The 27,403-nt window shown below is 34.7% G+C and overlaps 1 protein-coding gene across 5 annotated transcripts in view; it reads right to left on the bottom strand.

The window, feature by feature from the left end:
* The window catches only part of MAN2A1 (mannosidase alpha class 2A member 1), a 179,699-nt gene that overhangs the window by 94,490 nt on the left and 57,806 nt on the right, over positions 1–27,403 (bottom strand). For all 5 annotated transcript variants that reach the window (XR_007058604.1, NM_002372.4, XM_011543395.4 and 2 more), the window contains 4 exons: positions 19,680–19,807; positions 7,428–7,601; positions 4,595–4,781; positions 171–348 (listed from right to left, as the gene is read on the bottom strand). Coding sequence is in view for 4 of the 5 variants with exons in the window: in NM_002372.4 (NP_002363.2) it covers positions 171–348; positions 4,595–4,781; positions 7,428–7,601; positions 19,680–19,807 (667 nt within the window). In the remaining variant the exon portion in view is untranslated. The remainder of the gene's footprint in view (positions 1–170; positions 349–4,594; positions 4,782–7,427; positions 7,602–19,679; positions 19,808–27,403) is intronic.

Raw genomic sequence — 27,403 nt, 5'->3', positions numbered from 1 at the left:
ACTATAGCATATAATAATTTTCTTCCTAATGGATTATATTTTACACAAGAATTATATATTCTAAGAAGCACTGTGATGTAGGACAAAGAAGCTAAGGATTTCTGTTTATAGTCTCATTTAATAATAAAGGTTCAATTTCAAATACGGAATCATAAATATTTTCTCCTTACCTTAACTTTAAACTTGGACTGAGAATTCATATAATCAAAAAGCTGCTGATAATTCTTAAACTGTAAATCCCATTCCGTGTATTCACAGTAGCGGAAATCATCTCCTAGTGGAGCCAGGAGAACTTTGGTACGAAAAAGCTTTGACTTCTTTCGGTACTGATCTAGTAGCATCCGAGCCCTACAAAAAAAACAAACACAAAAAAACAGCAAATATGAATTTGACTAAGAAAAAGTGAATGTGACAATTGATTAAAAAGGAAATAACCAAATTCAAAAGTACATTTTATTAAAAGAAACTGTATATTTTATCTATCTGCAAGGTTAGTATAATTTAAAGACAGATTTTTTTAAAACTATCATACTAATTTTCATTATCCTTTAAAAATATTCATAAATTCTTATCAGAAGGAAAAACTCATAGGTTTCCAATGGATTATCTTTGGAGAAATATGGTCATGTACCAACTTGGCATATAATAAGTGGGGTACCAAGGACTTCCTAAAGCCCAGCCACAGAGATTGAATACCAGATAGCCCAGGTGTTAAAATGATTTATCTAGTAAGACAATAAGGACTTCCCACATATACAGACTTTGAAGTTTGCTTTGTCTTAATATTCCTTTCTCTAATCTAAAATTATCTGATTAAACATAGAAAAAAGTGTACTTTGAACAAAACCAAAAGGGAATAAATGTTAATCTGTAACATTTTATAGAGTCATATTTCCTCTTCTAAAGAAAAAAAAATCCACACACTTGTCACCTGCCACCAATAATCTGAGTATTTGTCACAGTGTCCTTTTCAATACTGACCATCAGATAAGGATTAGGAGTTGAATTAGTTATTTTGGTTTCTACTTCTCTGGACTCTAACCAATAGCTTGATGGAATAGCTTTTGTATTTCATATTCTATTATAGTATTCTGCAGAATGTCCTTTGGAAATCACTGAATTAGGGCATCATTTAAGAAAGTCTGAGAATACAAACTAAGACAAAGGGCTTGTGAAAATGAAATTATACAAGTGGATGAACCCAAAGCAGTTCACAATATTTACAAAGACAAAGCTTAAGAAATCAGTGATTAAACGACAAGTATTTTTATAATTTTCACTTCAAGGATCATCCAAAAGTAAATTCTAATTCACAATATAAAAACTTACGAAAGTATCTCAAAGAACACCAATGACAGAATGAAGCATCTTATAAAAATTATAAACATTTAACTAAATTTAAATCTCATATGGTCCTTTTTACATTTGTAATCTCTGAAATTGCTTTGCAAATATAAAATTTTAGCAGTAACATAATACCTTGGTGAGTAAAATATAACCACAGCGTCCTTATGTAACATATAATGCTTAGTTTTCTGACATTAGCACATTACTTTATCTTTACTAGTAATTTACTAACATTCCACATTTGCCAAAACACTTTTAGGTTACTTACGATAAAAAACACATGAAGAATGAGATTGACCACATAGAAAGAAGGCTACCAAAAAAAAATGAGTAAAAATAATCAAATATATAAATCATAGATATAAGATATAATTGAGCTCCAACTAGATTTCCTAGGCAGCCAGCATAAAAAAGGGTTTACTATTAGATATAGAGTATCTTGTATACATATGTGTAAAGCACATATAAAGAAAAGAAATCACAAACGTTAATGGCATGCCTTTAACACTTCACATCTATCCTAACTCTCAAGCCTGTCCAGAAAGTGTCAACACTGGGAAAGCCAAGTAACCAGCCTGTAACGCCTGGCAGGAAGAAGACACTCACTAAATATATGGTCCAATGGTAATTGGTAAATGGTAATATGGTAAATATATGGAACCAATAACAAATCAATTGACCCAACATCACATTTGAAAACATACAGATGCAATTTGCTCCTGATTTATTTTACCAGGTAAGAAATGTCAACTTAACTGTAACCAAGAAAAATAAAATCCCCGAAACATCAAATCACGTGACGGTCAATAGAAAAAGCCAACTTAAAATATATAGTACTTGACCAAAAATGAACTTGACAAAGAATGATATTTCTTTACTTGCAAAGTAGAAGAACCTGCTGAGCTGGACATATCAAAAGATGCCATCTGTACATTATGGTTAAATTTCATTTTCTTTGGGACGTTAACAAATTGAACAGGGCTAGGCATGGTGGCTCATACCTGTAATCCCAGCACTTTGGGAGGGCGAGGCAGGAGGATCATTTGACCCCAGGAGTTCAAGACCATCCTGGGCAACACAGGGAGACCTCGTCACTACAAAATTTTTTAAAACAATTAGTCGAGCATTGTGGCATGTACCTGTGGTCCCAGTTACTCAGGAGGCTGAGGTGGGAGAATTGCATGAGCCCAGGTGATGGAGGCTCCAGTGAGCTATTGTGTCATTGTACTTCAGCCTGGGTGACAGAAAGAGAACCTGTCTCAAAAAAAGTGGGGAGCTTGAAAGGGGCCAATGAGCTGGAATGCCTGTGTTTGATCTCAATTCATCATCAGGTCAAAACGAAGGTGATATATGGATCTGAGGTAACCAGTAGAGTTAACATTTCAATACTTGTAAGAAGTTTGTTTGTTTGTTTATTTTAGAGACGAAGTCTCACTCTGTCACCCAGGCTGGAGTGCAGTGGAGAGATCTCGGCTCACTGCAAGCTCTGCCTCCCAGGTTCTATTAGTTCTCCTACCTCAGCCTCCTGAGTAGCTGGGATTACAGGCACACGCCGCCATAGAAATGGGGTTTTACCATGTTGCCCAGGCTGGTCTCAAACTCCTGAGCTCAGAAAATCCGCCTGCCTCGGCCTCCCAAAGTGCTAGGATTACAGGCATGGGCCACTGCGCCCGGCCAAGAAGTTTAAAAAGAAAAAATCTCTAAGTATTATATAGACTCATTCAACAGTATGCCCCCAGGTGCCTGGAAATCACTTTCAAAACCACTGGAACTAAATGAGCACAAGGTATCATCCTGAGGGGCAATTGTTGAAAGGTTAGATGACATAGCAAAAGGATTATAAAAAAGCCTTTTTTTCCTCAATAATGTGCCTCAGGTAGTCTCAGTAGCACCCCCCAAAAAAAGAACAAAGGGCTCACAATACTATGAATGCACTGGGACTCCCCAGCTGAAACATCTTGTTCACTTTTAAGAACTTCCCCATCCCTGGTCACCTGAGCAGAGAGTAGTGTAAATACCTGTAAATATAAACAGCTATTTGCCCACCTACACAGGCCAGGGTGCCCCCACACTCAACCCTTCCTTTTTATTACACCTTCCACCACACAATATACTGGCTTATTCTCTTATGCCTACTTAACCCAACCCTAGCTAGAAAGCAGGTTGTTCAGAATTCCTCAGTGGTTCTCATGGCTGTAGGAACCAAGAAAATGAAATCAAGTCAATCCCTAACCTTGGGCAGTTTTTCTAAATAACTATTAAAGTCACATTTTGATAGAAGGGCTCCATGACTTTAAGAAGGCTGCCATGCTAAAACACCTTCATGTCTGCCACAGTGAGAGGCTCACAAAGAAAATCTTTGTGATTCTAAGGACTCATTGAAGGTAAAAAGATCTCATTTCACCTTCTTCCTCACACACTTTTTTTTAAGTGACTTCTCTTTTGAAAATAAACTGATTTAATAGTGCAAAAATAAATTTATTTAATTTATTTAATGGGCTATATTATTTTCCTAGCAGAGTTTAGTGTTTTTATATTACACCACAATGTTTCATTTTAATACACTACTAATTTTTAAGTGAAGAAATTAAACTTTAAAAGTACCAATATTAGAAACTACATGTAAGTTGGTTTAATGAGATGCTTCCATCATTAGCACAATTTTCTTCTAAAGAAATGATTCATACCTTTGATTTTTATTTAAATGTATTTAAGTATAAATATTCCTAATTAAAGTTTACTGTAAGTCAAAAACATCAGAATGATGCAAAGATGTGTATACACCAGAGCTGGGAAGCATTCACTATTATTGAAATTGTTATTAAGGGAACAGATAATTACACTCTTTATGTGCTCCATTTCAATAAATGTGTTTTTGCAGTTGAATTGCTTTTCTTACCAATTTGTACAATAGGGACCAGAAGTTTTATTCAACAAAAGTATATGAAATCAATCAAACACAGTAGAAGGCTTTTATAATGAGGGCAAAGGAGATGGTAATAATAGTGTATTATAGGTTATCCATTGTATATTGATCTAGTATTGTTCACTTTCCATTAAAATGTAACACATAACCGGCATAGTCAAGGCTCTGGCATTTTTAAGTTGCTTTAGATCTGGTTTGAATGAATACTTCAAACAAGGATAATGTTGGCTAATAAAGCCCATTTGTTCAACCCTTCAGCAACTAGCAGCTAAGTGGCTACTTTATTCAAGATGTTGTCTTATGAAATACGCATTTTCATACCTGCTTTGGACATTTCCAGGATGTATTGTTTCTGGGGGGACTCCCCAGGGACAACCAAATCTGCCTCCAGGAAGACGTTTAAAATCAAACTGGCAGCATATTTTAGGATCAGGTCCACAAGTGTGAGGGATGTCATAGCTGTAGAAGGGCATCATGTGGCATAAAATATCTGTGACAGATCCCAGATCTAAAATAAAGAGCCAACACACAAACCTGCATTTATAAAATCTGTTTTCCCAAAAAATATTCAAAATGTCATTACTTTACACAAAGTAATGCTGATTTAGCTCTGTGCTAAATCAGCAGCCCCTTTAACTTCCAGTACATATACCCCAGCGGTATTTAATGGCCACCTGTCTGAAGGAAGATACTCACACATCTCAGTCTCTATCTACCTCTTCTATCTAAGCATAGCAGAGACAGGAAAGCCCCAGCATGAACCAGCGCCAGCTGACCAGGAGGGATACAAACTGAGCAGCCGTAAAAGTTACAGCTGGCTCATCCAAAACTATGTCCATCCCTGGCTGCCAGTTCCTGCCGTAACTGTTCCCAATTCAGGTAACAGAATTCACTGAGAGATACCATGATATTAGCTGCAGAGGCTGGGTGAGAAGAACGGAGTAAAAAAGGGATGGAAGAACAAAGGAAGTGTGGAGCATAGACTTATAAAAACACTGGAGAAATTCACTCTTGGAGAAAATTTCCTCTTATGGTGAGGAGAGGATGTGCAACCCAGGAGAATCTACAGTCTCACCCCATGTTTACCAAGAATGAGTCAGTCAATGGGACTTTTCACCAACAAAGAAGCACAGGAAAAGAAAAAGTAATTTTCAAAAAGCGAAACAAAAATAAAAACAAAACGAATAAGATATGGAAAATGAGCACTGATTCCTGATGCAGAATTACTTTTAATTAAAACTACAATGTTATCACATGTTGGCCTGGAGAGGTGAGAAGCCTACCAACAAGTGAGACTGGAGGACCTACCTAGTAGTTAAAAGCTATCTTTGCGAATATGATCCTGAGCTTTTAAATAGCCCCCGCCCTTTATTTATGTATGGATTTCCAATTTTCAGCAATGAGTATGTACTGCTTACGTAACAGAAAGACAAAAAAATTTACATTTTTAATAAGTGAAAATAACTGCTTCATTAAGAACTCGAACACGTGAACAAGCTCAACTTAATTCGAAAACATTTTTTAAAAAGCAACATGTTCAAATTTATCAGGTAAGTCCTAAAATATTCCAGTTTTATCAATTTAGTTAACTGTTATTTTCCAAATTTAAAACTATTAAAATCTATGTACTTCAGTGCTGTCAGCTGTTTCACTGAATCATATTCACAACGGTGACACTGTAGATGCTGGTCACTAATGCTTGCTATGAGCATATAGTCGCCACAAAAGGTTGTCACAAGTCCTAAAACTCTTCTCTCCTATGGATAAGGACATACTCCATACCCCACTAATTCTCCTTATGCGCTACTCTTTTGCAGCTAATTTGCATACTTAATTTTATCTGCTACATTTGGCTGTATCCGTATTTTATCAAATTAGACTGGAATTTCCCTATAAGCAAGGATGTTTTCAACATTTCTTCCTAGCACAATACTGAAATACATAAAAGTACTCAATAATTTCATACTAACTGATATTTATGGGCAATTGTTTAAGTAGGGCTTCTTCAAATTCTTTGTTTTTCAAATTAATATGCTCCTTAGCATTTGATCAAACTATATGGAATGCAATCCCCTACAAGTTCTTGTTCTCCCTACAGGTTTAATTTTCTAGAATTAAGAAACTGTATAGCTAATGCTTTCCTTACTGAAAAAAACAGGAGTACATATAAGAAAGTTACGGTCTAAATTTACAAATGATTTTTCTGAAACACTTAAGGGGTCTAGATTACACAAGAAAACAAGTATAATGTAATGCAGTAATTTCTCAAACACTGTTTTATAAACAAAATATTTCTTTCAGATGAAAGTTTACTGAGAACACAATGACAGAGGTTAGGAGCCTGGGCTTCAGGAACTACACAGAACTACATTCAAATCTCTGCTCTCTATGCATGACCTATATGACTTTTGGCAAATGGCTTCTCATATCTAAGCCTCCATTGCTTCACCATAAAAAAAGAATAATATTAAAAAGATTAAATGAGAATGAATATAAAGCAGAGGTAACATAATACATGGCCCATAATAAAGGCTCGATAAATAAATAGAAAATAAGGTGGTCTGAATTAAATAGGGGTTGAGAAAGGCAAAGGCCTCCCAAGAGGCCTAGATCTTTTCTCCTCTCTCCTAATAAAGAGCTGCACAAGTATATCCTTAGAATGCCTGCGTGGCCACAGAACACACTGTGAAGACAGGTGGTATTTTGACATTAGGGCTGTTTTAGGAGGACAGGATTAAGGCTTTAAAAAGCAATTCTTACAAGATGTAGAGACGAGAGACAGAAGGAAGGAACACTGGCTGAATATAAGATATATGACTGGATATCAGTTCTAATGCATGTTCAAATTTGTGATAAAACGTGCTTTCTAAAACAGAAGCAAGTGAAAGCATTATTGGCAAAATACTAACTCCTTATATTTATCTACTTTCTTTAAACATAAAAAGATTCTCCTATGCTCTATAAATATCTGCATTATTACTTAAAAGAATCTTGACACAGGCACATGGGAAAAATAATTACGAGAGTGACTATCTTTAGGCCACCTGATTTTTCAAGACTGACAGTGAACAAAACCCACAGTGGCATGAGTTCATAACCCTTGTGAAATAGTATCTAGGCCAAATGGGATCAACTTTCATCAAACCCTACATACCCCAATTCTGTCTCCAAAAAAACTCCAATGTTTTATGCAGTGCAAAGTGTTTTTTAACTGCATAATGAACTCTCTGGATAAGCATGTGAGAAAGTCCAGCACGGTTTAGAAGATAAGCCATTGTTGGTGAGTGTCCAAAGGGATCAATAGCCCAGCCGGACCGAGGTTTCACTCCTGTGGATAAAGATGATAAGTGTTAATTTTTTTAATTGATATATGAAATAAAAAGAAGTCACAACACATTCAGACTCATTGTCATTGTATAGTCTCCTAGAGATATCAGACCAAGGATCTACCCAGCATTATCCTCTGCCAAGTATTCCCAGCAAGATATCATGAAGGGAGGATTGTGCCACTGCCTATCCACATAGGCAGAGGATGCTCACTGAAATTAATCAGTTAGAGTTCAAATAAATACTGCCATCTTTTAGCCATTAACATCTTTTACCTATTATAAAGCCACTGCCATTAACTAGAGGTAGAGAATAAACAGGACCAGGGCCCTTCCTGGAAGGATATCACAGTCCTGTGATCTGTGGAGCTGGATAACTCTGGAACTATTACATGATAAAGAAAAGTAACGTACCTATTTCAACTTACATTTCCCAACACCAACATTAAGGACTTTTTTAGTCTGTCTTTTACACATTACAAAAGCCCCAAATCATCTTATGATACAGTGGCAGAACAGGCCAAAATAACTATACCATATTTCATTAAATCTTAAGTCATTATGATGCTGGTGCTTTCACTCTACCTACAAAGGTGCCAGTGATTTCTCATAGCTGGCTCACACCAATAATGTGAACTACTGACTAAAGATATATCTCAATTTCACAGAGGATAAAATGTAAAAAAATAAAAATGAAAAAGATAATAAATGTACTGGTTAGAATAAGATTGTTCATCTAGCATTATAAAAATCTGATGTTTTAATTATTTGGGATTCTCAAATAAAGTGTCTACTTACAACTTATAAACTGACATAAGTAATATTGCTGTGTGTATTTTTTTTCATTCAAACACCTTTTAAGCACCTTACCTAAGATGATGAAAGACCCCACAGTTACAAAAACGAGTTAAATTAGATCTTGACTCTAGTTTGCAGAGGCTGTCATTCAAATAAGTGTAACACAAAGTAACACACAAGACAACAAAGAGAACTAGAACTTTGTAAACAACACTAAAGAAGAACATAGACATGGGGAGCCAGTAAAGGACAATAAGGAAAAGTCAGGATCTACAGGGGACCAAGAGTATACAGTCAAAACTCAAAAAGAGCATATGTCAAAACTAAAAGAACTGACCACATAAGATTTGTGCATTTCACATATGTAATTTACATCCAAAAATTAAAAAGAAATATTGAACTCTATTTAGTAACTTTGGTTTTTGTGGTAGCACGGATTTAACAATTCTGAAGGCAGCTTTCATGTATTCTAAGATTGAACAAATGAGAACAAGGGAGCCAGAATTTTCACAGTAAGATAAGTAACTACAAATGTGGAAGACTGGAATGTACCCTATGATATTGCATTACAACAGGAGATATCGGTACTAACTTATGGTTTTTCATGAGGAAATATAAAAATATAGATACAGGTATCTGTATGTATATTCACAAACATACACAAATTTTCCAACTCAGTGCACTTGAAGGACCTAGATGCAATAAAACCTCAGTACCAATGACCACACCTTAGCTCTCACATCTTGGCCTCTACATACCAATCATTTTACAAAGAAAAAAAAACCTGAAAGAAATAGCTTATTCCAAGGCTGAAGCCAGGAAAGTACATGATAGCCTGGAATATATTCTTGCGTCATAAAGCAAAGAGACAGTCAAGAAATCATGGGGGCATATTAAAATAACTCAGGAAAAGACCAAAGAGGCTTCTAATGGCCAAATCTGGGACAACTGAGGTGTGAAAATAAATAATGCATTATAACCCAGTGAATATTAACCATGAGCCCATACTGATATAAATAAATAAACAGAAAATAAGAAGGAAAGCTCTTCTCTTTAGTAGAATGCCAACTAGCAATTATAGAAGGAATTAGAAAATCATCAATGGACACTAAAACATAAACATGAGAGATGGCTGAGGTATAGAATATTTATTCCCAATGTATCTCCCACATATTAATTAGAAAGGGCAAAAATTTAACACAGTGGAGAAACTTAGCAGACAAACCTTAACTAGTTGTTCCCAGTATTACCAGTACTAGGACAGAGACATCACATGCCTCCTGATATGATGCAGTGAGGACAATGGGACATCACATTACTGCAGTGATATTGTAACTAGACAGACAAACAGGTAGATAGGAAGAATACATAAATAACTTGAATCCCATCATCAAGAAACTGACAAAGTCAAATAGAGAGACTTCTACAAAAGTGGATCTACTCTTCAAAAATATAAAGATCAAGAAATCCCCAAAAAAAGACTAAGGAACAGTTTCAAATAAAAGGAAACTAAAGAGACATGACAACTAAATGCAATGTACGACCATGGATTCCATTCTTGACTGGGTGGGGGGAAAAGCGGCTTTTATAAAAGACATTATTGAAATAATTGACAAAATCTGAATACAGCCTGTGGACTACACTGTCCTACTGTATCACTGTTAACATTCCTGATTTGATAACTTTATTATATTTACGTATAAAAGTGTCCTTATTTCTTAGGAAATATGCAATGAAGTATTTAGAGATAAGGGTACAGGGTACCTCCAACTTACTCTCAAATGATTCAGAAAAATATACATATGAATCAATGTACAAGATACATGGGAGTCCTTCCCAAGTACTATGATGCCACTTATAAGTTAAAAATTATATCAAAATTAAGTTATAAAATTAAAAAAGGAGTATGTATTGTCCAAATAACAAGGACAGAATAAGCTTACAAAAAAAGATAAAAATCAGTATCAAACACTGCAGTGATGTCAAAGAGTTTATAGTGTCCATTCAATTTAACAATTATAACATCACTGGTAATCTTTTCCACATCAAAACCGTTGGATCCAGAGGGGTAGCAACCTAGCTGCAATGGAATAAAGAGTCCCTGAGACTAAATAATGTAGAAAAGAGAAAGTGTAAACTATATTTTTTAAAACTTTGATATGAAAGGAGTGGAGAACTAGGGATAGACTTAAAAAGGAACCTAGTGTCCTGCTAGGGTTTTTCTTGGCAATACTTTTTAAAAGGAGGGTAAGGGGCAAACTTAGGAAAAAGTACAATATAAGAAAAATCCAAAATTTTATAAAGAGGGCACATTTGCTAATAAAACTGGAAAGCTCATCAAAAAGATTTCATGCCTTCATGCAAGAACAAGATTATCAAAAGTAAAAGTATAAAAGTAAAAACTGTTCAAAATACAAGAACAAAGTATGGAAAACATTAAGAAGAATTAACATCAGTCAATTTTTGGCAAACCTAATAGGTTTAAAAATTAGAACATTAGTAATACGAATAGTACCTAATAAAACTGGATTATTCTAAGTATATTTAATACTATAGTTTAAGAGGAATCAGGAAATATATTTGTAATATGGATATGGTAGTCAAAAGACAACTTTAAAAGCTCAAAAAAGTTATAATAGGCCGGACACGGTGGCTCATGCCTGTAATCCCAGCACTTTGGGAGGCAGAGGTGGGTGGATCACCTGAGGTCAGGAGTTCGAGACCAGCCTGACCAACATGGTAAAACCCTGTCTCTATTAAAAACACAAAATTAGCCAGGTGCGGTGACAAGCACCTGTAATCCTAGCTACTAGGGAGGCTGAGGCAGGAGGGTCACTTGAACCCAGCAGGCGGAGGTTGCAGTAAGCTGAGATGGCGCCAGTGTGCTCCAGCCTGGGAGATAGAGTGAGACTCCGTCTCAAAAAAAAAAAAAAAGTTATAATGGTCAATTTTTATAATAAAGTTAAAAGCAGACATTAATAGCCAAAGATTAAACAACTAAAAATGCATCCCATAATCAAATGTAAAAACAGTCTCCAAAATAACATGTCCTAAATTCTTTAGAAAACAAAACCAAGTTTAGTGAGAATGATGATTTCCAATTTCATCCATGTCCCTACATGGGTGCAGCACACCAGCATGGCACATGTATACATATGTAACTAACCTGCACATTGTGCACATGTACCCTAAAACTTAAAGTATAATAATAATACTAAAATAAATTTTAAAAAAAACTTAAAAATAAAAAAAAAAGAAAACAAAACCAAGGACACTAATTCATAAGATGCAGCCAAAGCTACAATACAAAGAAATGTCATATCCTCAGATATGTTCCTTATATTTAAAAAGAAAGTAACTGGGCCAAGGGAAAATCTCCCTGAACCTGGCTTTTCTCAGCTTTATGGAACATGTAGTGAGTCTCACTCTGATGCTCAAAAGCCTACTAATTAAATTCATAGAGGTCTATGTTAAATAAAATTTATGGAAGGCCACTGTATTAGGCTGAGCAGCTGCAGTACACCCCAAAAGACCACATCAAACCAGAATACAGTCACTTGTGCTAGGTGCCACATAATCAAACTGAACTTGAATATGTACCAGTTTAAAAAACAACAACAAAAACCAGGAGATTTGAAGCAATCTGATCCACAATCAGAAGGGGCCTGGTCTACTTGAGCCAGCATGATAACGAAGTCTCCTCTGTTGTAACCCTGTAAGGGAAGTAACTTTGAAATAACCAACCTACTTTTTGTTTCCTATTTCTGCTTTTGCAGCCTTTTGCTGCCTATAAAGCCAGTCTTCTCTGCTTTGCTCATCAGAATATTATTTTTTAGATGGGATGTTGCCCTGTTCATGAATTGCTTAATAAAGCCAATTCAATCTTTAAGCTGCATTTGTTCACATTGTGCTTTTGACAATTATACCTCTAAAACTGAACAGTTTTATGATGTTGTAAGTGTTGTTAAGTGTGTTCACTATTTGGGATGGAGGAAAGAGTGAAGTAGTGAGATACCTCATATCACATGCTAAGAGTCATAAGTACATCCCCTGAGCACATCGAAGGCCAGCACTGATCTTCTCCAAGGCACCTTGAGGTAGGAGGAACATACATTCTCAGACTGACCCTGCCACATTGCCATTGTCCTCTGCCTGGACTGCAGAAATGAGCTCCAACTCCATTTCAGCAGTTTGCCTATGCTGACTCCACAGGATGAGTGAGATGGATGGGTATGCTCTCTCACAAGAGGCCTCGCTGCCACTCACCTTCACGTTGTAGAAAAAGAACAAATGAGCCAAAATGTATGTATGTGTGCACATGCACCTGTTGCCAACTCCTTGAGAGAAAAAGAAACAAAAAACAGACAAAAGGAGCAAAGAAAGAGGAAAATAAAGATAAGGTAGTATGAAGAAACACAAAATACCTTTTAGCTTAAAAAATTTTAACCTGCTCTTTAAAAAATAAATAACACAGACTAACAGTCAAATAAAAATGCCCTACAGAAAACTATAAAGAAGATAGATACAAAAGTTGTAGAGAAGATAGCTTTAAACACTTTACTATCTCTAATAAATTTGTTTTAAAATACTATCCTATCCTTGTGGAAAAAAACTTATACTGTGTTTAAATATACATATGAAAAAGTCCAGAATGCTATAATGTTATATATCACAAAACAGGTTATCTCTAAAGGGTACAGAAGGATTTCTCCTTACTTTCTGCTAGTATATTATTTTTTCCTATTTTCCCACACTGACTGCATGTTATTTAATAAAATACTGTTTAAAACAAAGAATACTATATACAATTCTTACTTTATACTCCAAGTAATTAAAATGTTGATAAGAAGGCTGGGTTTCTAACAAAAATAATACAATTTACATTTTAGATGTAAATTGGATATTAATAACTTTGGAGAAATTTTTAACATTATCAAAAAATCTACCTCCAATAAAAGACCCCTCTAAGCCTAGGATCTGAGCAATAAATTATTTCTAATGTACATAAGCTGTCACGTAATACAAGGAAGAATTCAGTACTACCTAATTCATTTTATTAAGTATCACAAACCAATAAAAAAAATACAAATGTAGTACATTAAAAAAGAAAACTAATCTTACTCATGAAAATGGATATAAAATCATAAAACCACTAAATAAATTAAATTCAATAGTACCAAAACCAAAAGGGATTTATTCCAGGAAGTCAATGACTTTTTAACTGAACAAACTGCTGTCACATCCACGGAAACATGAGAAAAACCATACAGTATTGATAGACGGCTATAAGAAAACCAGTAATATTACGTATTCACTGTTAAGTGAAAAATACTAAGAAGAAAATAATTTTCTAAACACTATAAATAGCACCTACCATAAAAATACTATATAATATGATACTTAATACAGAACAGCTAAACAATTTCTATTAAAAATCTGGAACAAGAAAGACCACTACCCTATGTCATTACTATAAGAGATGTTATCTATGCAATAAAATACTAAACAGACATATAGTCTAAATACTATAAGTATTTAAAAAGATAATTTTCATTTTATGATTTTATTACATATTTATAACTAATAAGAAATTATATAAAATATTTATAATAAAAAGATAGGATTTATACAACTTTAGACCACACATATACACATGCATATGAAAAATTTTCTTATATACTGGTATTAAATGATTAAGAGAAATGAAAAAGATACCACTAAAAACAAACGAATAACCATAAACTGGTAAAAATATTCATATAGCATATATGTGACAAAGTGCTCATATTTAGAACATACAAAGAATATCTACAAATTTTAAAAAAGGCAACAACCCTTTACTAGTATAGCTAGTAAGACTAATAAAGAATAAAAGAGAAAAGAATCAAATAGACACAATAAAAAATGATAAAGGGGATATCACCAAAAAGTGGGCGAAAGATATGAACAGACACTTCTCAAAAGAAGACATTTATGCAGCCAACAAACGTGAAAAAAAGCTCATCATCACTGGTCATTAGAGAAATACAAATCAAAACCACAATGAGATACCATCTCACCCCAGTTAGAAAAGCGATCATTAAAAAGTGAGGAAACAACAGATGCGGGACAGGATGTGGAGAAATAGGAATGCTTTTACATTGTTGGTGGGAGTATAAATCAACCATTGTGGAAGACGGTGTGGTGATTCCTCAAGTACCTAGAACCAGAAATACCATTTGACACAGCAATCCCATTACTGGGTATATACCCAAAGGATTATAAATCATTCAACCATAAAGACACATGCACATGTATGTTTATTGCAGCACTATTCACAGTAGCAAAGACTTGGAACCAACCCAAATGCCCATCAATGATAAACTGGATAAAGAAAATATGGCACATATACACCATGGAATATTATGCAGCCATAAAAAGGATGAGTTCATGTCTTTGCAGGGATATGAATGAAGCTGGAAACCATCATTCTCAGCAAACTAACACAGGAACAGAAAACCAAACACCGCATGTTCTCACTCATAAGTGGGAGTCGAACAATGAGAACACATGGACACAGAGAGGGGAACACGACACACAGGGGCGTCAGGGGCTGGGAGGCTAGGGAAGGGATAGCATTAGGAGAAATACCTAACATAGATGACAGGTTGATGGGTGCAGCAAACCACTATGGCATGTTGTAAACCTATGTAACAAACCTGCATGTTCTGCACATGTATCCCAGAACTTAAAGTATCTATCTATCTATCTATCTATCTATCTATCTATCTATCTATATATATATATATATAGCAACAATTCAAATAAAAAGAATGGGTAAAAGACTTAGAAACTTGAAAATAGGGTATACCACTGGCCAATAAGCACAACAAAACATACTCAGCATCATTAGTCATCATAGAAATGCATGTTAAAATAACAGTGAAATATCACTATATACCCACTAGCATGGTTCTAAGAAAAAAGACTCACACAGCAAACACTGGCAAAAATGTGGAACAATCAGAACTCTAATTCGTTGTTGGTGGAATATAAAATAGCACCACCACTTTGGAAAACTCTTTCAAAGTTCACATAAGCTGCAACATAAACTTATCCTATAGCCCAGCAATTCTAGTGCTAGTAAACATTTCACTCCAAGAGAAGGAAAACATATGCCCATAAAAAGACCTGTGCACAAATGTTTATCACAGTATGATTCACCATAGCTCAAAACTGAAAGCAACCCAAATGTTCAACAGGAAACTGGATTAATAATAAAAGGAAATGGATTACCAACATACACAACAAGAATGAATCCCAAAAACTTCATGCTGGTGACAGGATATAAGATCACTAACAAAAATCAATTGTATTTCTACATACTAGCAATGAATAATCCTAAAATGAAATTAAGAAAACAATCCCATTTATAATGGCAGTAAAACAAACAAAATGCCTAGGAACATATTTAACAAAAAAAGTACAGGACTTTTACACTGAAAGCTATAAAACACTGTTGAAAGAAATTAACGATGATCTACTTAAATGGAAAGCCATCCCATGTTGCTATATCAGAAGATGTGACATTGTTAAAACGGCAATATTCCCCCAGATTGACCTACAGATTTAATACAACCACTAGCAAAATTCTAGCTGATATTTTTGCAGAAATTGATAAACTGGCCTAAAATTCACATGGAAAAAACAAGTTTAAAAAAAGAACGGAAGTTGCAGAACTCAGACTTCCCAATGTCAAGCTTATACAAGCTATAGTAATCAAGACAGTACGGTACTGGCATAAATATAAGTCAAGGAAACAGAACTGAGAGTCCAGGAATAAACTCTCATAATTATGGTTAACTAACTGTTAACAAGTGTGCCAGGACAATTCAGTGAGGAAAGAATCATCTTTTCCAATAAGTGGCATTGGAATAACTGGGTATCAACATGCAAAAAAAATAAATATGAAACTCTACCTCACATCATATACAAATATTAACTAAAAATTAATATTTTAGTTAATATAACAATTATATTAATAGTTATATTAACTATTATATATTAACTATATAATATTAACTAAATATAATATTTAGTTAATTTAATCACTGACATAAATGTAAGAGCTAAAACCATAAAACTAGTTTAAAGACAGTAGTACATCTTTATAATTCAGGATTAAACAACAGTTTCTTACTATGGCATCAAAAGCACAAGCAACAGAAGAAAAACTTCCTCAAAATTAAAACTTGTGCACTAAAAGACACCTTCAAGAAAGTGAAAAAACCACAGAATGAGAAAATAAATTTGTAAATCACTATCCAACAAAGAACTTTTAACCACAATATATAAAAAAAATTCTAAGTCAATAATAAAAAGATAAATAACTCTACTGAAAAATAGGAAAATAATTAGAATAGACATTTATCCTTAAAAGATCTATACGCAGCTGATATACACATGAAAAGATTCTTAGTACCACTAGTCTTTAGGAAAATGCAAATCAAAATCACAATGAGATTACCATTTCACACATATTAGAATGACTACAATAAAAAAGAGAGACAGTAACAAATGTTGGTGAAGATACGGAGAAAATAGAAACCTCACACATTGCTGGTGGGAAGGTAGAACGATACCGCTCTTTTGGAAAAGTTTGACAGTTTCTCAAAATGCTAAACATTTTTACCATATAACTCAGCAATTCTACTCCTAGGAAGAAAGGTAGAGTCACACAAAAACTTTTAAACAAATGTGTATAACAGCATTATTCACAGCAGCCAAAAGCAAAATACAACCTAAGTGCCCATCAACTGAATAAGGGATAAACAAATCTGGTATATCCATACAACAGAATATTATTCAGCTATAAAAAGGAATGAAGCACTGATATATGCTATAATACATGATGAGCCTTGAAAATATTATGCCAAGAATCCAATCACCAAAGGCCATACATTACATGCTTCCATCTATGTGAAATGTCCAGAATAGTCCAATCCATATATACAGAAAGACTAGTGATAGCCTGAGACTGGGGCAGGGAAGGGTGAAGCTAGGAAGGGGAGTGACTACTACTGGGTATAAGGTTTCTTTGGGGGATGTTGAAAAAAGTTCTAAAAATAGACTGTGGTGATGGTTGCACAAATCTATGAATTTATGTGAAATATATCTCAATAAAGTTGTAAGAAAAAATTACACTGGGCAAAAGACACAAGACCCAAAATAATATTATGTGAGTTCATATACTAATAAATTCTTCTTCAAACAAAACTCATGGACAATGACAGAAATCAAAGAGCAGTTGGCTGCAAGTGGAAAGATGAGGGGATGAGAGACCTTGGGTAATAAATGTATAGATTAAATGGGTATGTACATTGTTAAAACTCACTGACCTCTACATTTAAGATTTATATATTCCACTGCATGTAAATTACACTTCAATAAAAACATAAAAAACATTCATAACGGAGGTTTATGAAGTGAATATTCTTGGGTTAGCATATCAAGTATTTAAGAAAAAGGGCATTGTGTAGAGAGGGTCCCCAAGACCACCTTCAGGTTTGGTGATTTGTTAAGAAAAATCACAGGTCTCAACATATTGTCGTACTCACACCTATAATTTATTACAGTGAAATGAGAAAAAAAAATCTGCAAAAGGAAAAAGCATACAGAGTAAGTCCAGAGGAAACCAGGTGCAAGCTTCTAAGCGTCCTCTCCCCATGGAGTCATACAGGATGTGTTTAAATGCTCCAGCACGAAACTGTGACAGTATGTGTGAAGTGCTGTTGACCAGGAAACTCATTACAGACTCAGTGTCCAATGTTGGGGGCTGGTCATGTAGGCACCCTCTGTTCAGCACATACTAAGAATTCAGACTCCCAGAAGGAAAGCAATTGTTTAGCACAAACTATTTTGTTTGTACAAACAGATTAAAAACAGTGAGCCACTCTTATCGTTAGGATATCCATGTTCCCAGACACTAACCAAGGGCCAATCTTGCAAGCAAGGCCTTTCTAAAGATAGCAGACCTGCTATGCTAACTATTTTCTACACGGGCATGATACCTGCAACATGCTTCCAAATGGTTCTGATAATAAGAAATACCAGCACCACTACAACAACACGGAAACAGAAAAAATTAAGTAAATGTGTCAAAATGTTAACAACTGGTAAATCTGGGTGAAGGGTTTATGAGAATATTTTGCAGTATTCTTATACATTTCTTCAAATTTGCAATTATCTCAAAATAAAAAGTAAAGAAAAAATAGGGATTAAGAATTTTATCTCTAAGGGACAATTTTTTAAAATAAGGAAATATCTAAAAATAACTTCAATAAAAAACACATATACTTACATAAAAAACTACATTATTATACTGAGATATAAAATATTTGAAAGGATTTACATACCATGTTACAAAATGCAAATATTAAATATCACATAGTTTTCTATTAGTCCCAAGTTTTTATAGTGGACATCTGATTCTATCAGTCTAGCATCTTTTTTCCCATTTCTTGTAGCAACAGAATTATTCTGTTGAACTGGACCCATTCCATGAGGCCACTCATATGGAGGACCCATTCTCATGCCTTTAGGTGCAGCTGACCCTGCTCTCCACAATTCCCTTTCCCCCAAGACCATTTCCACCAAAATGACTAGACCTTAGTGATTTGAACTCCTATACCTCTGGACACAGTAACTGGCTCAGACATAAGGAACTGACTCAAGTTGGGCCAACTAGATAAAGTATTAAAGAGAATTCCTGGTTGCTAGGTTGGAAAAATTAGTCTCGGCTGCCTAGAGCCATCTTACTCACCTTGTGAAGAAACCCAGCAAAACAAGCAGAGCCCAAAGATACAGTGCCCAGACAACATAATTTAAGTCCCCTGGATCCCTGGATACAGCAATACCTGAAGCTACCGTATCTCTGGAACACTCAGTGACATAATGAATATCTTTCTTTCCTTTTTTTGCTGAAAAAAAAAACTTAAGCTACCATAATTAGGTTTTTGCCTCTTGTCATCAAGTCTTAACATACAATTAAAATAATCCCAAAACCAATAAAAATATAGATAAATAATACATTAAACAAGGTAGATGATCCTAAAAGTGACTATAGTAAATCTCTGTAACTCAGTTTATGAGCTAAGAAATATCATAAATTAATGAAGAATAAATTATTCAACAATAATGACTAACAGGGAAAATAGTTACTCGAAAAAAGAACAGAGCCTCACTTCACATCCCGAAAATTAACTGTCCAAAATAGCCCAAATAAAGAATATACCAATACATACCTATATTATTTTCCAGCCACTGATGTCCTTCAATTAGTTGATCAATTAAGGCAAAATAATGTGGAGTAGCTTCATCAGGCATAACCCAGCCACCTGTCACAATTTCAAGCTGACCATTTTCTATTAAACTAGAGAGAAAATAACAAGAGTCTACATTAATAAATGTTAAGAAAAGTTCAAATGAAAAACTAAACAAGCATAAACATTAAGAACAGCCTTTAAATATAACCAGTATGTATACTAGTTGTCAAAAAATGTGTTTAAACCAGTGAATGAATTTCAACTTCAAGACCTCATGATAGCACCCGGTGTCTCAGGTAACCCCTGCCCTTCTGCAGGAAAAGCCACGCAGGTCATTCTGGAGGTTCCTTCCACATGGGTATAAACTCCCATACAGCCTCAAAGATTCTTAATGTCAAAAGCCACATCTGGTTGGTTTATTTATTTATTTATTTGAGACAGAGTTTCACTCTTGTTGCCCAGGCTGAAGTGCAATGGTGCAATCTCGGCTCACTGCAACCTCCGCCTCCCAGGTTCAAGCGATTCTCCTGCCTCAGCCTCCCGAGTAACCGGGATTACAGGCATGCGCCACCATGCCTGGCTAATTTTGTATTTTTGGTAGAGACGTGGTTTCTCCATGTTGGTCAGGCTGGTCTTGAACCCCCAGCCTCAGGTGATTTGCCCGCCTCAGCTTCCCAAAGTGCTGGGATTACAGGCGTGAGCCACCACGCCCAGCCCATATCTAGTTTATTTCTGAATCTTGCAGAGCACCTAGAAAGGTGTTTTACACAGACTATATGCTTGATGAGTGTTTATTGGAGGGCTGTCACTTTAAGCACATTATTTATTTCAATATACTTTTATCAAAAAATCAATATTTACTTTAGTCCTTCTGACACTGATAAGTTGATCATGCAAACTACCCTAAAAAATAACAAGGGTAAAGCTAGTAAATACCACATGACTCTGGGAATACAGATAACATCATAAAGTACTTTGCCCCAGATTCAGTTGAAATATAGGCTATACAGTTTATTTTTCATTATTGAGTGAAAGGCTCTAACAGCTTCATTACTTGTCTATTGGGTATTCCTTTGCCATAATACCATACCAGGTAACAAGATCCCTAATCCTAATAAAATTGTTTTGAGAAGATACTTTCCCCTGAGAAGAAAAAAAAAATCATTAACTATTAAAAATTTGAAATAGTGCCCAAGGAAGCATAAAAGTCAAGAATTTAAGCAAGGTCTGGCACAGTGGCTCAGCCCTGTAGTTCATGCACTCTGGGAAGCCAAGACAGGAGGATTGCTTGAGGTAAGGAATTCTAGACCAGCCTGGGCAACATAAGGAGATCCCATATTTACAAAATAAAATTAAAAAGTTAGCCAGGTGTGGTGGTGCATGCCTGTAGTCCCAGCTACTTGGAAGGCTGAGGTGGGAGGATTGCTTGAGCCTGTGAGTTTGAGGCTGCAGTGAGCTATGATTACGCCACTGCACTCCAGCCTGGGAGACAGAGTGAGACATTGTGTCAAAAAAAAAAAGAAAAAGAAAAAAGAAAAAAAAATTGAGCAAGTATCTATCTTAAGTGCCACAGACTTGCCAGCCTGCAACAAGATGGTTTGGAAAATGGGGTAAAATTTCAGAAAGAAGCAAAGCAGCTTTAAAAAGGACATACATCACTGGATGCCTACAGCTAACAGCCAACTCTCAAGCCAAATTTAGTTGAAGCAGACCAGAGGCACAGAGGATGAATAACTATTTTCCTACAAAGCATATGATAGAAGCCACAACATTAACACAACATGTAATTCAAACATATGCATGATCATATAACCAGTAACAGAGTGGATAATGGACGTAATTTCTAAAAAACAATCAAATAATAAATTCCCTGCAAAAATTAAAGAAATAAATTTATGTTGCCATGGGGATCACCAACTAATATAATTTCACATGGAGAATATGATGACTCATTAGAATGTCTAAAGAAACACAATATCCAATCAAACTTCAGATTCTCAAAGGCCCAAATCAAGAATCTACAATGAAGAAGCTGGAAATTTCTAAAAAACGCCCTTCTTTAAGAACACAACTAAATTCAAGGCTACCGGTCCCACCTTTACTGTCAATAGACCTATGCATACAATTAGTTCTTTTTCTTATCTTTCTGGTGATTGCCTGATTTAGCCACAGTCTAGAGGCTATGGACCAAACCTGCCCCTTATGCGTTATGCTTCGCAGCCTGAGATGTCAGGACAGTATGAGATTTATTATCTAATTATCAAATACGGAAACTTGACTTCATTATTTCAATATATCAATAAATAGATCTTTTGGAAAATTTCAGACATAAGTTCAGATATAAATCAAAAATAAACTCTTCGCTGATGTTGAATAGAGAAAAAAACTGCAGATTAAGAAAACTAAAAATTAAGTGGAAAAAATTTACTCCAATGATAGAACTTTTTTCATCTATATTAGTTTTAATTTACAACATAATTCCTGTCCCACAGGCATCAATGGTCTTCAAGAAAGTCAACCAGCCAAGAATTACAGTATATACAGTAACTAATTTTCCCAGCTCCATTTGTTAATAATCCATTTCTCCTCCATGATGCCTGGGATGCTACTTTCATCAAAGACTGAATTCTTATCTGTACTTAAAGGTTAAAGACTATTCTGTCTATTAATTTTGAGGAGGCATGAAAAACTTCCCACTTATTAAAATGTTTTCCAGCATTTATCTATTTTCTTCTACCCTATCTTTCCCAGTCTGGCTGGTCTCAACTGCCCTCATAGCTCAGCTCAGAGATGTCTTCATGTGCACCCAAGCTAAACTAACACTCCCACTGTACCCCCCATTCTATCTATCCATCACAGTCTTTATCAGAAACCAAAATTACCTTGTTCATTGTCAGATCTCCACTCTTTCCCTCCCGACCTCTACCCACCATTAGAATGTAAGCTCCAAGAGAGCATGGACTAGAATGTGTTTTGTTCACGTTGGCACGTCCGGCACTCAGAAGCTTGCTTGGCAGATAATGGTCATTCAAATATTTATTACATAAATGAGGAATTAATGAATAAGGCCATCAGTTTAATATTAGTATTTACCTACAGTTTTTATATTAGAAGAAGCTCACAGATATTTGCAAAATAAAATAGAAAGAGAAAGGTCAGTCAGAATGAAGTTTCAATTATCTAGGTATGAGATGATATGATCTAGAACATGGTAGTAGTAATTATGAAATATGGAGGAGGAGGAAGACGGGAGACATCACATGAAAAAGTATCAATGGTAATTAGAAAATGACTGAAGATAGATGAAAAGATTAATGCAAATATGACTTACAGTTTTAATTCCAGGTGTCTAACGGAATGGTAGTATTAATACACAAACAGTGCAATTGCGTTGAGAAAGGAAGTCACTTTGTAGTAATGCATACAAATTTGGACAGGGCTTTTTGATGACAGTGTGACATCCAAAAGGAGTTAAGTGAAAAAGAAGAGTAAGTTTAAGAAAAGGGGCCAATTAAAAAGTTAAGTTTCAAAGAACTATTAACAAAAGAGAAAATAGGGAATGATGAGAAGTTAACAAAAAACAAGCAAAAGGAGAGTCAAAGATCAAGCTGAAGGAAAATATAAGAGAAATGGAGATAAGAAATGTTAAATGACAAAAATAATAAATCTGAATTTAGCCTGAAACAGTCTAGAGAAGAGTAATAAAGAGCAATCTGTCCTTCCAGTTGGTGTAAGCCATTAAAAAGCTACCATAACTGTGACTTAGAAATAAACACATCAGTGAGTCAGAATAGGAAGTTGAAAAATAGATTTTTAAAAAACATTTACATTATTAAAATAGGCATTGAAGATTTATTTAAAAAAAAAAACTAAAAATAGAACTACCTTATGATCCAGCCATCCCACTACTGGGAAAAACTCAAGTATACCAAGGAAAAAAATCAGTACACCAAAGGGATGTACTGTTTGGACTCTCATGTTTATTGCAGCACTATTCACAACACCAAAGATCGGAATCAACCTAAGTGTTGATTTAGATGAATGGAAAAAGAAAATGTGGTATATATATAAACAATGGAATACTATTTAGTCATAAAAACCTATGAAATCATATCATTTGTAGCAACATGAATGAAACTGGAGGTCATTCTATTAAGCAAAATAAGCCAGGCACAGAAAGACAAATATCCTATGTTCTCACTCATATTTGGGAGCTAAAAAAAAAAAAAGTTGATCTCACAGAAGTGGAGAGTAGAAGGACAGACACCAGAGGCTGGGAAGAGTATTTGACTTAGGGTAGCGATTGGGAAGAGGGGTTAAGAGAAGTTGTTTAATGGGTACAAACATGCAGTTAGATAAAAGGAGTAAGTTCTAATGTTCGACAGCAGAGTAGGGTGACTATAGTTAACAACAATGTACTGTATGTTTCAAAACAGCTAAAAGAGGACTGGAAATGTTCCCAACACTTAGAAATGATACTCAAGGTGATGGACGCCCCAACCCTGACTTGATCATTACACATTCCATGCATGTAACAAAATATCACCTATACCCCATAAATATGTACAAATATTTGCATCAATTAAAAATATAAAAATACAATAAAACAGCCATTGATTTAGTGGAGAAAGAATGAGTTATATTTTTTCTTTTTAAGACTCAATCAGAGTGACTTAAAACCAGCTCATAAGAAAATGCCAAGATATTATGTCATGGAAGCCAAGGGATTCATATTTCAAAATACTATGCTCATACAGGTTTTTCAGAAAAATTGCATGACTAGGTCAAAAATAGGCAAATATATCATATCATATATAAATGACATCATAATAGTAGGCCAGAAAGCACATAGCTTTTAGTTCCTCTTAGCATAGTTTCTTTTATAAGATAGAACAAAACATCCCATGGAAGAAAAGAGACAACATTATTTTAATATGGACCATATTGTAATAGTATGATACCTGGTAGAATAATCAGGTTAGTGAGTACTCCTATTTCATTGAACTGCCTGTTTTTCCTAGGGTATTACCCTCTAATCCATCCACAAGAATAGAAAAACAGATAATAAACCAGAAGATTCTTACAAGCAGGAAGATTTGGTCTGATATAAAATATTTACTGTGTTGAGCAAAAACACTTGCCATTAACAACAACAAAACCCAAAAACATCAGAAGGACACAAATTTGCCCTGAATTCTAGAACATACATGATAAGCACTTAAGGAAGCATCTGATGAGTGAAAGAAAAACAAGAAATAGTCCCCAAAAAACAAAGAAAATTGTCAACCTAATTACTGAGAAGCATAGCAATAACCATCATCATTTAGTGATAACTACAAAACCTAGGACTAAAAGTCTTAACAGAAACAATATGTCTGGAAATACTTTAAAAAATATTTACAAGCAATAACAGAAAAGCTATGTTAACCTAAAAAAGGACCATACTTAAAGCCACTGTTGTTAGTGATGATAAAAATAAGATGAAGATGGATTGTAGCTGTACATTCAAGACTAACAATTTTTTAAAAGTAATGAGAAATACCCGTATCTATAAAAAAATTTACTTAGAATGAATACAGGCACTTCCAAGTCTTTCCATTCACAGTGTTCAACAGGTATCAATTGAACTATTTCTCTGACAAGCAGGGGAATATTAGTGGAGAAAGTTAATTAAAAACATTAGAATTTAAATTAAAATTTAATTAAAATTTAAAAAAAAGATGTGCCCACACCACAGGGTCTATTGCTTAATTTCTACCAAGACATTCTCTGTCTATTTTACATGTACACTTCATGATATTTCCTAATAAACATGAAACCTAAAGGCCAAAGTGAAAGGATATTGGGTAAGTAAGGGAAACAAAGGTATATGTTTATCTAACAAATCCAGAAACTAAGAAACCAGGAACTAATTTTCAAAATTAACAATACTTGTCTTTCACTTTTTACACTGAGTTGACTTGTAACTAATGGTAAAAGACATTAAAATACCACCATGTTTCTATTTCAATGATGAGAAATTTGATACAGAAAGCTTAAGAAAATTACTGATCAAAACTAAGCTGAGCATATCTGTCATTCCGCATTTTACCTAAAATGCAGAATTTACTGCAAAGCACAACAAGCTGCAAATCATTTTCTCTGAGTGTCACTTTTTCCCCTATGTAGAATCATCAGACATTTGGAATTTGGTCACACACAGAAGGACACACTCAAAGAGCTTTTCTCCCTAATGGGGAAATTGTTACAGACAACTTAGTAGCAAACAATGCATCATTTAGCAAGCTTCAAAGAATCACAAATTAATTTCACATGAGAAAACCAGCTGAATTTCTAATGACACATCTGGAGAAACAGGAAATAATACAAGATGACATACAGTATTTCATTCTTAAATTTTAAAAAAATTTTAAATGAAAAATTCAAAAACACAGAAGCTCCCAATGAATCAACTTATATCCTAAAGACATTCTGCTAATCAGATTGTCTGATTCATATTCCTTTCCTGGAGAATATCTAGTAGGCAGGGAAAAAGATTTGTTTTAAAGCCCCTTATATAATGATAGGAGAAACTCACTGTATACTTTTGAACATTGTTGACACATATCTATACAGATTAGTGTATGAGGAACAGAGGGCAAATCAGTCATCTCTCATCATTTCTTCCTCATTGCAATCCAGCCACATGCCCTTCTTTCAGCTAGCTGTCCATGCTGTCTATCTGCCTGGAATGTTTTCCCTTCAAATATTTGCCTCATTGGTTCTTACAGGTTCATTAGGGGCTGTTACTGGCCACCACATTCCACCCAAATCCAGCCTGAACTGTTATCTTACAGAAAATCTAACTTTTCTTCCATAACATTTACAACAAAATTTAATTGCATATTTGTATGTCTACTATCTTTCTATTCCAACAGGCTGTAAGTACCATGAGCGCAGGAATCACATCAGTTTTGTTCATCATTTAACACTGATTGTTCCTATTAGCATAAAATTGTAAGAAATGGGTACTGATAATGCAAAAAAAAAAAAAAGGCAAAAGATACAATGCAGATATTTCAGAAATAACTGGCTCATAAAAATGACAAGAAATTTAATCTCACTCATAAGGAAATGCAAGTTAAAACTTCATTAAGATGCCACTTTTCACCTATCAGATAAGAAGATCAAAAAGTTGTATAACATACTGTGATGTTAAGGATGTAGACATAAGTAGTCTCACATACTGCTGGCAATAACTATCAAACTGTAAAATGCATATGTACTTTCATCCATGCTCACTGAAAATAAGTCAGAAAATATTGTATTTTAAAATAAGAGCATTATATATACTAAAGACAAAAGATACACTAAATATATTACCAAGAGGCCAGAAAATCGGGAGTAGTTAAATAACAAGTCCCATTCACATAACAGACTTTACTAAAAGATTCTCCAAGATACATGTTTAAAAAGCACGGTACAACACCCATTAGGGATGCCTATTACTTAAAATAATAAAACAGCAAATAAGTGTTGATAAGGATGTGAGGAAACTAGAAATCTGTGCATTGCTGGTGGGATGTAAAATGGTACAGTAGTATGGAAAACAGCATGGTGATGAAAAAATTATGCACGAATCTTGTATTACACATGTCCTTATACTGCCCTTTGATTCCTTGGTGCAATTCCACATTATTCCCAGGCAGTATACCCTATAGAAA

This window comes from Homo sapiens, chromosome 5 (genome assembly GCF_000001405.40).
Source record: "Homo sapiens chromosome 5, GRCh38.p14 Primary Assembly".
Lineage (NCBI taxonomy): Eukaryota > Metazoa > Chordata > Mammalia > Primates > Hominidae > Homo > Homo sapiens.
Note: the sequence above shows the minus strand (reverse complement) of the source record. Positions and strands in the feature narration are given on the sequence as shown.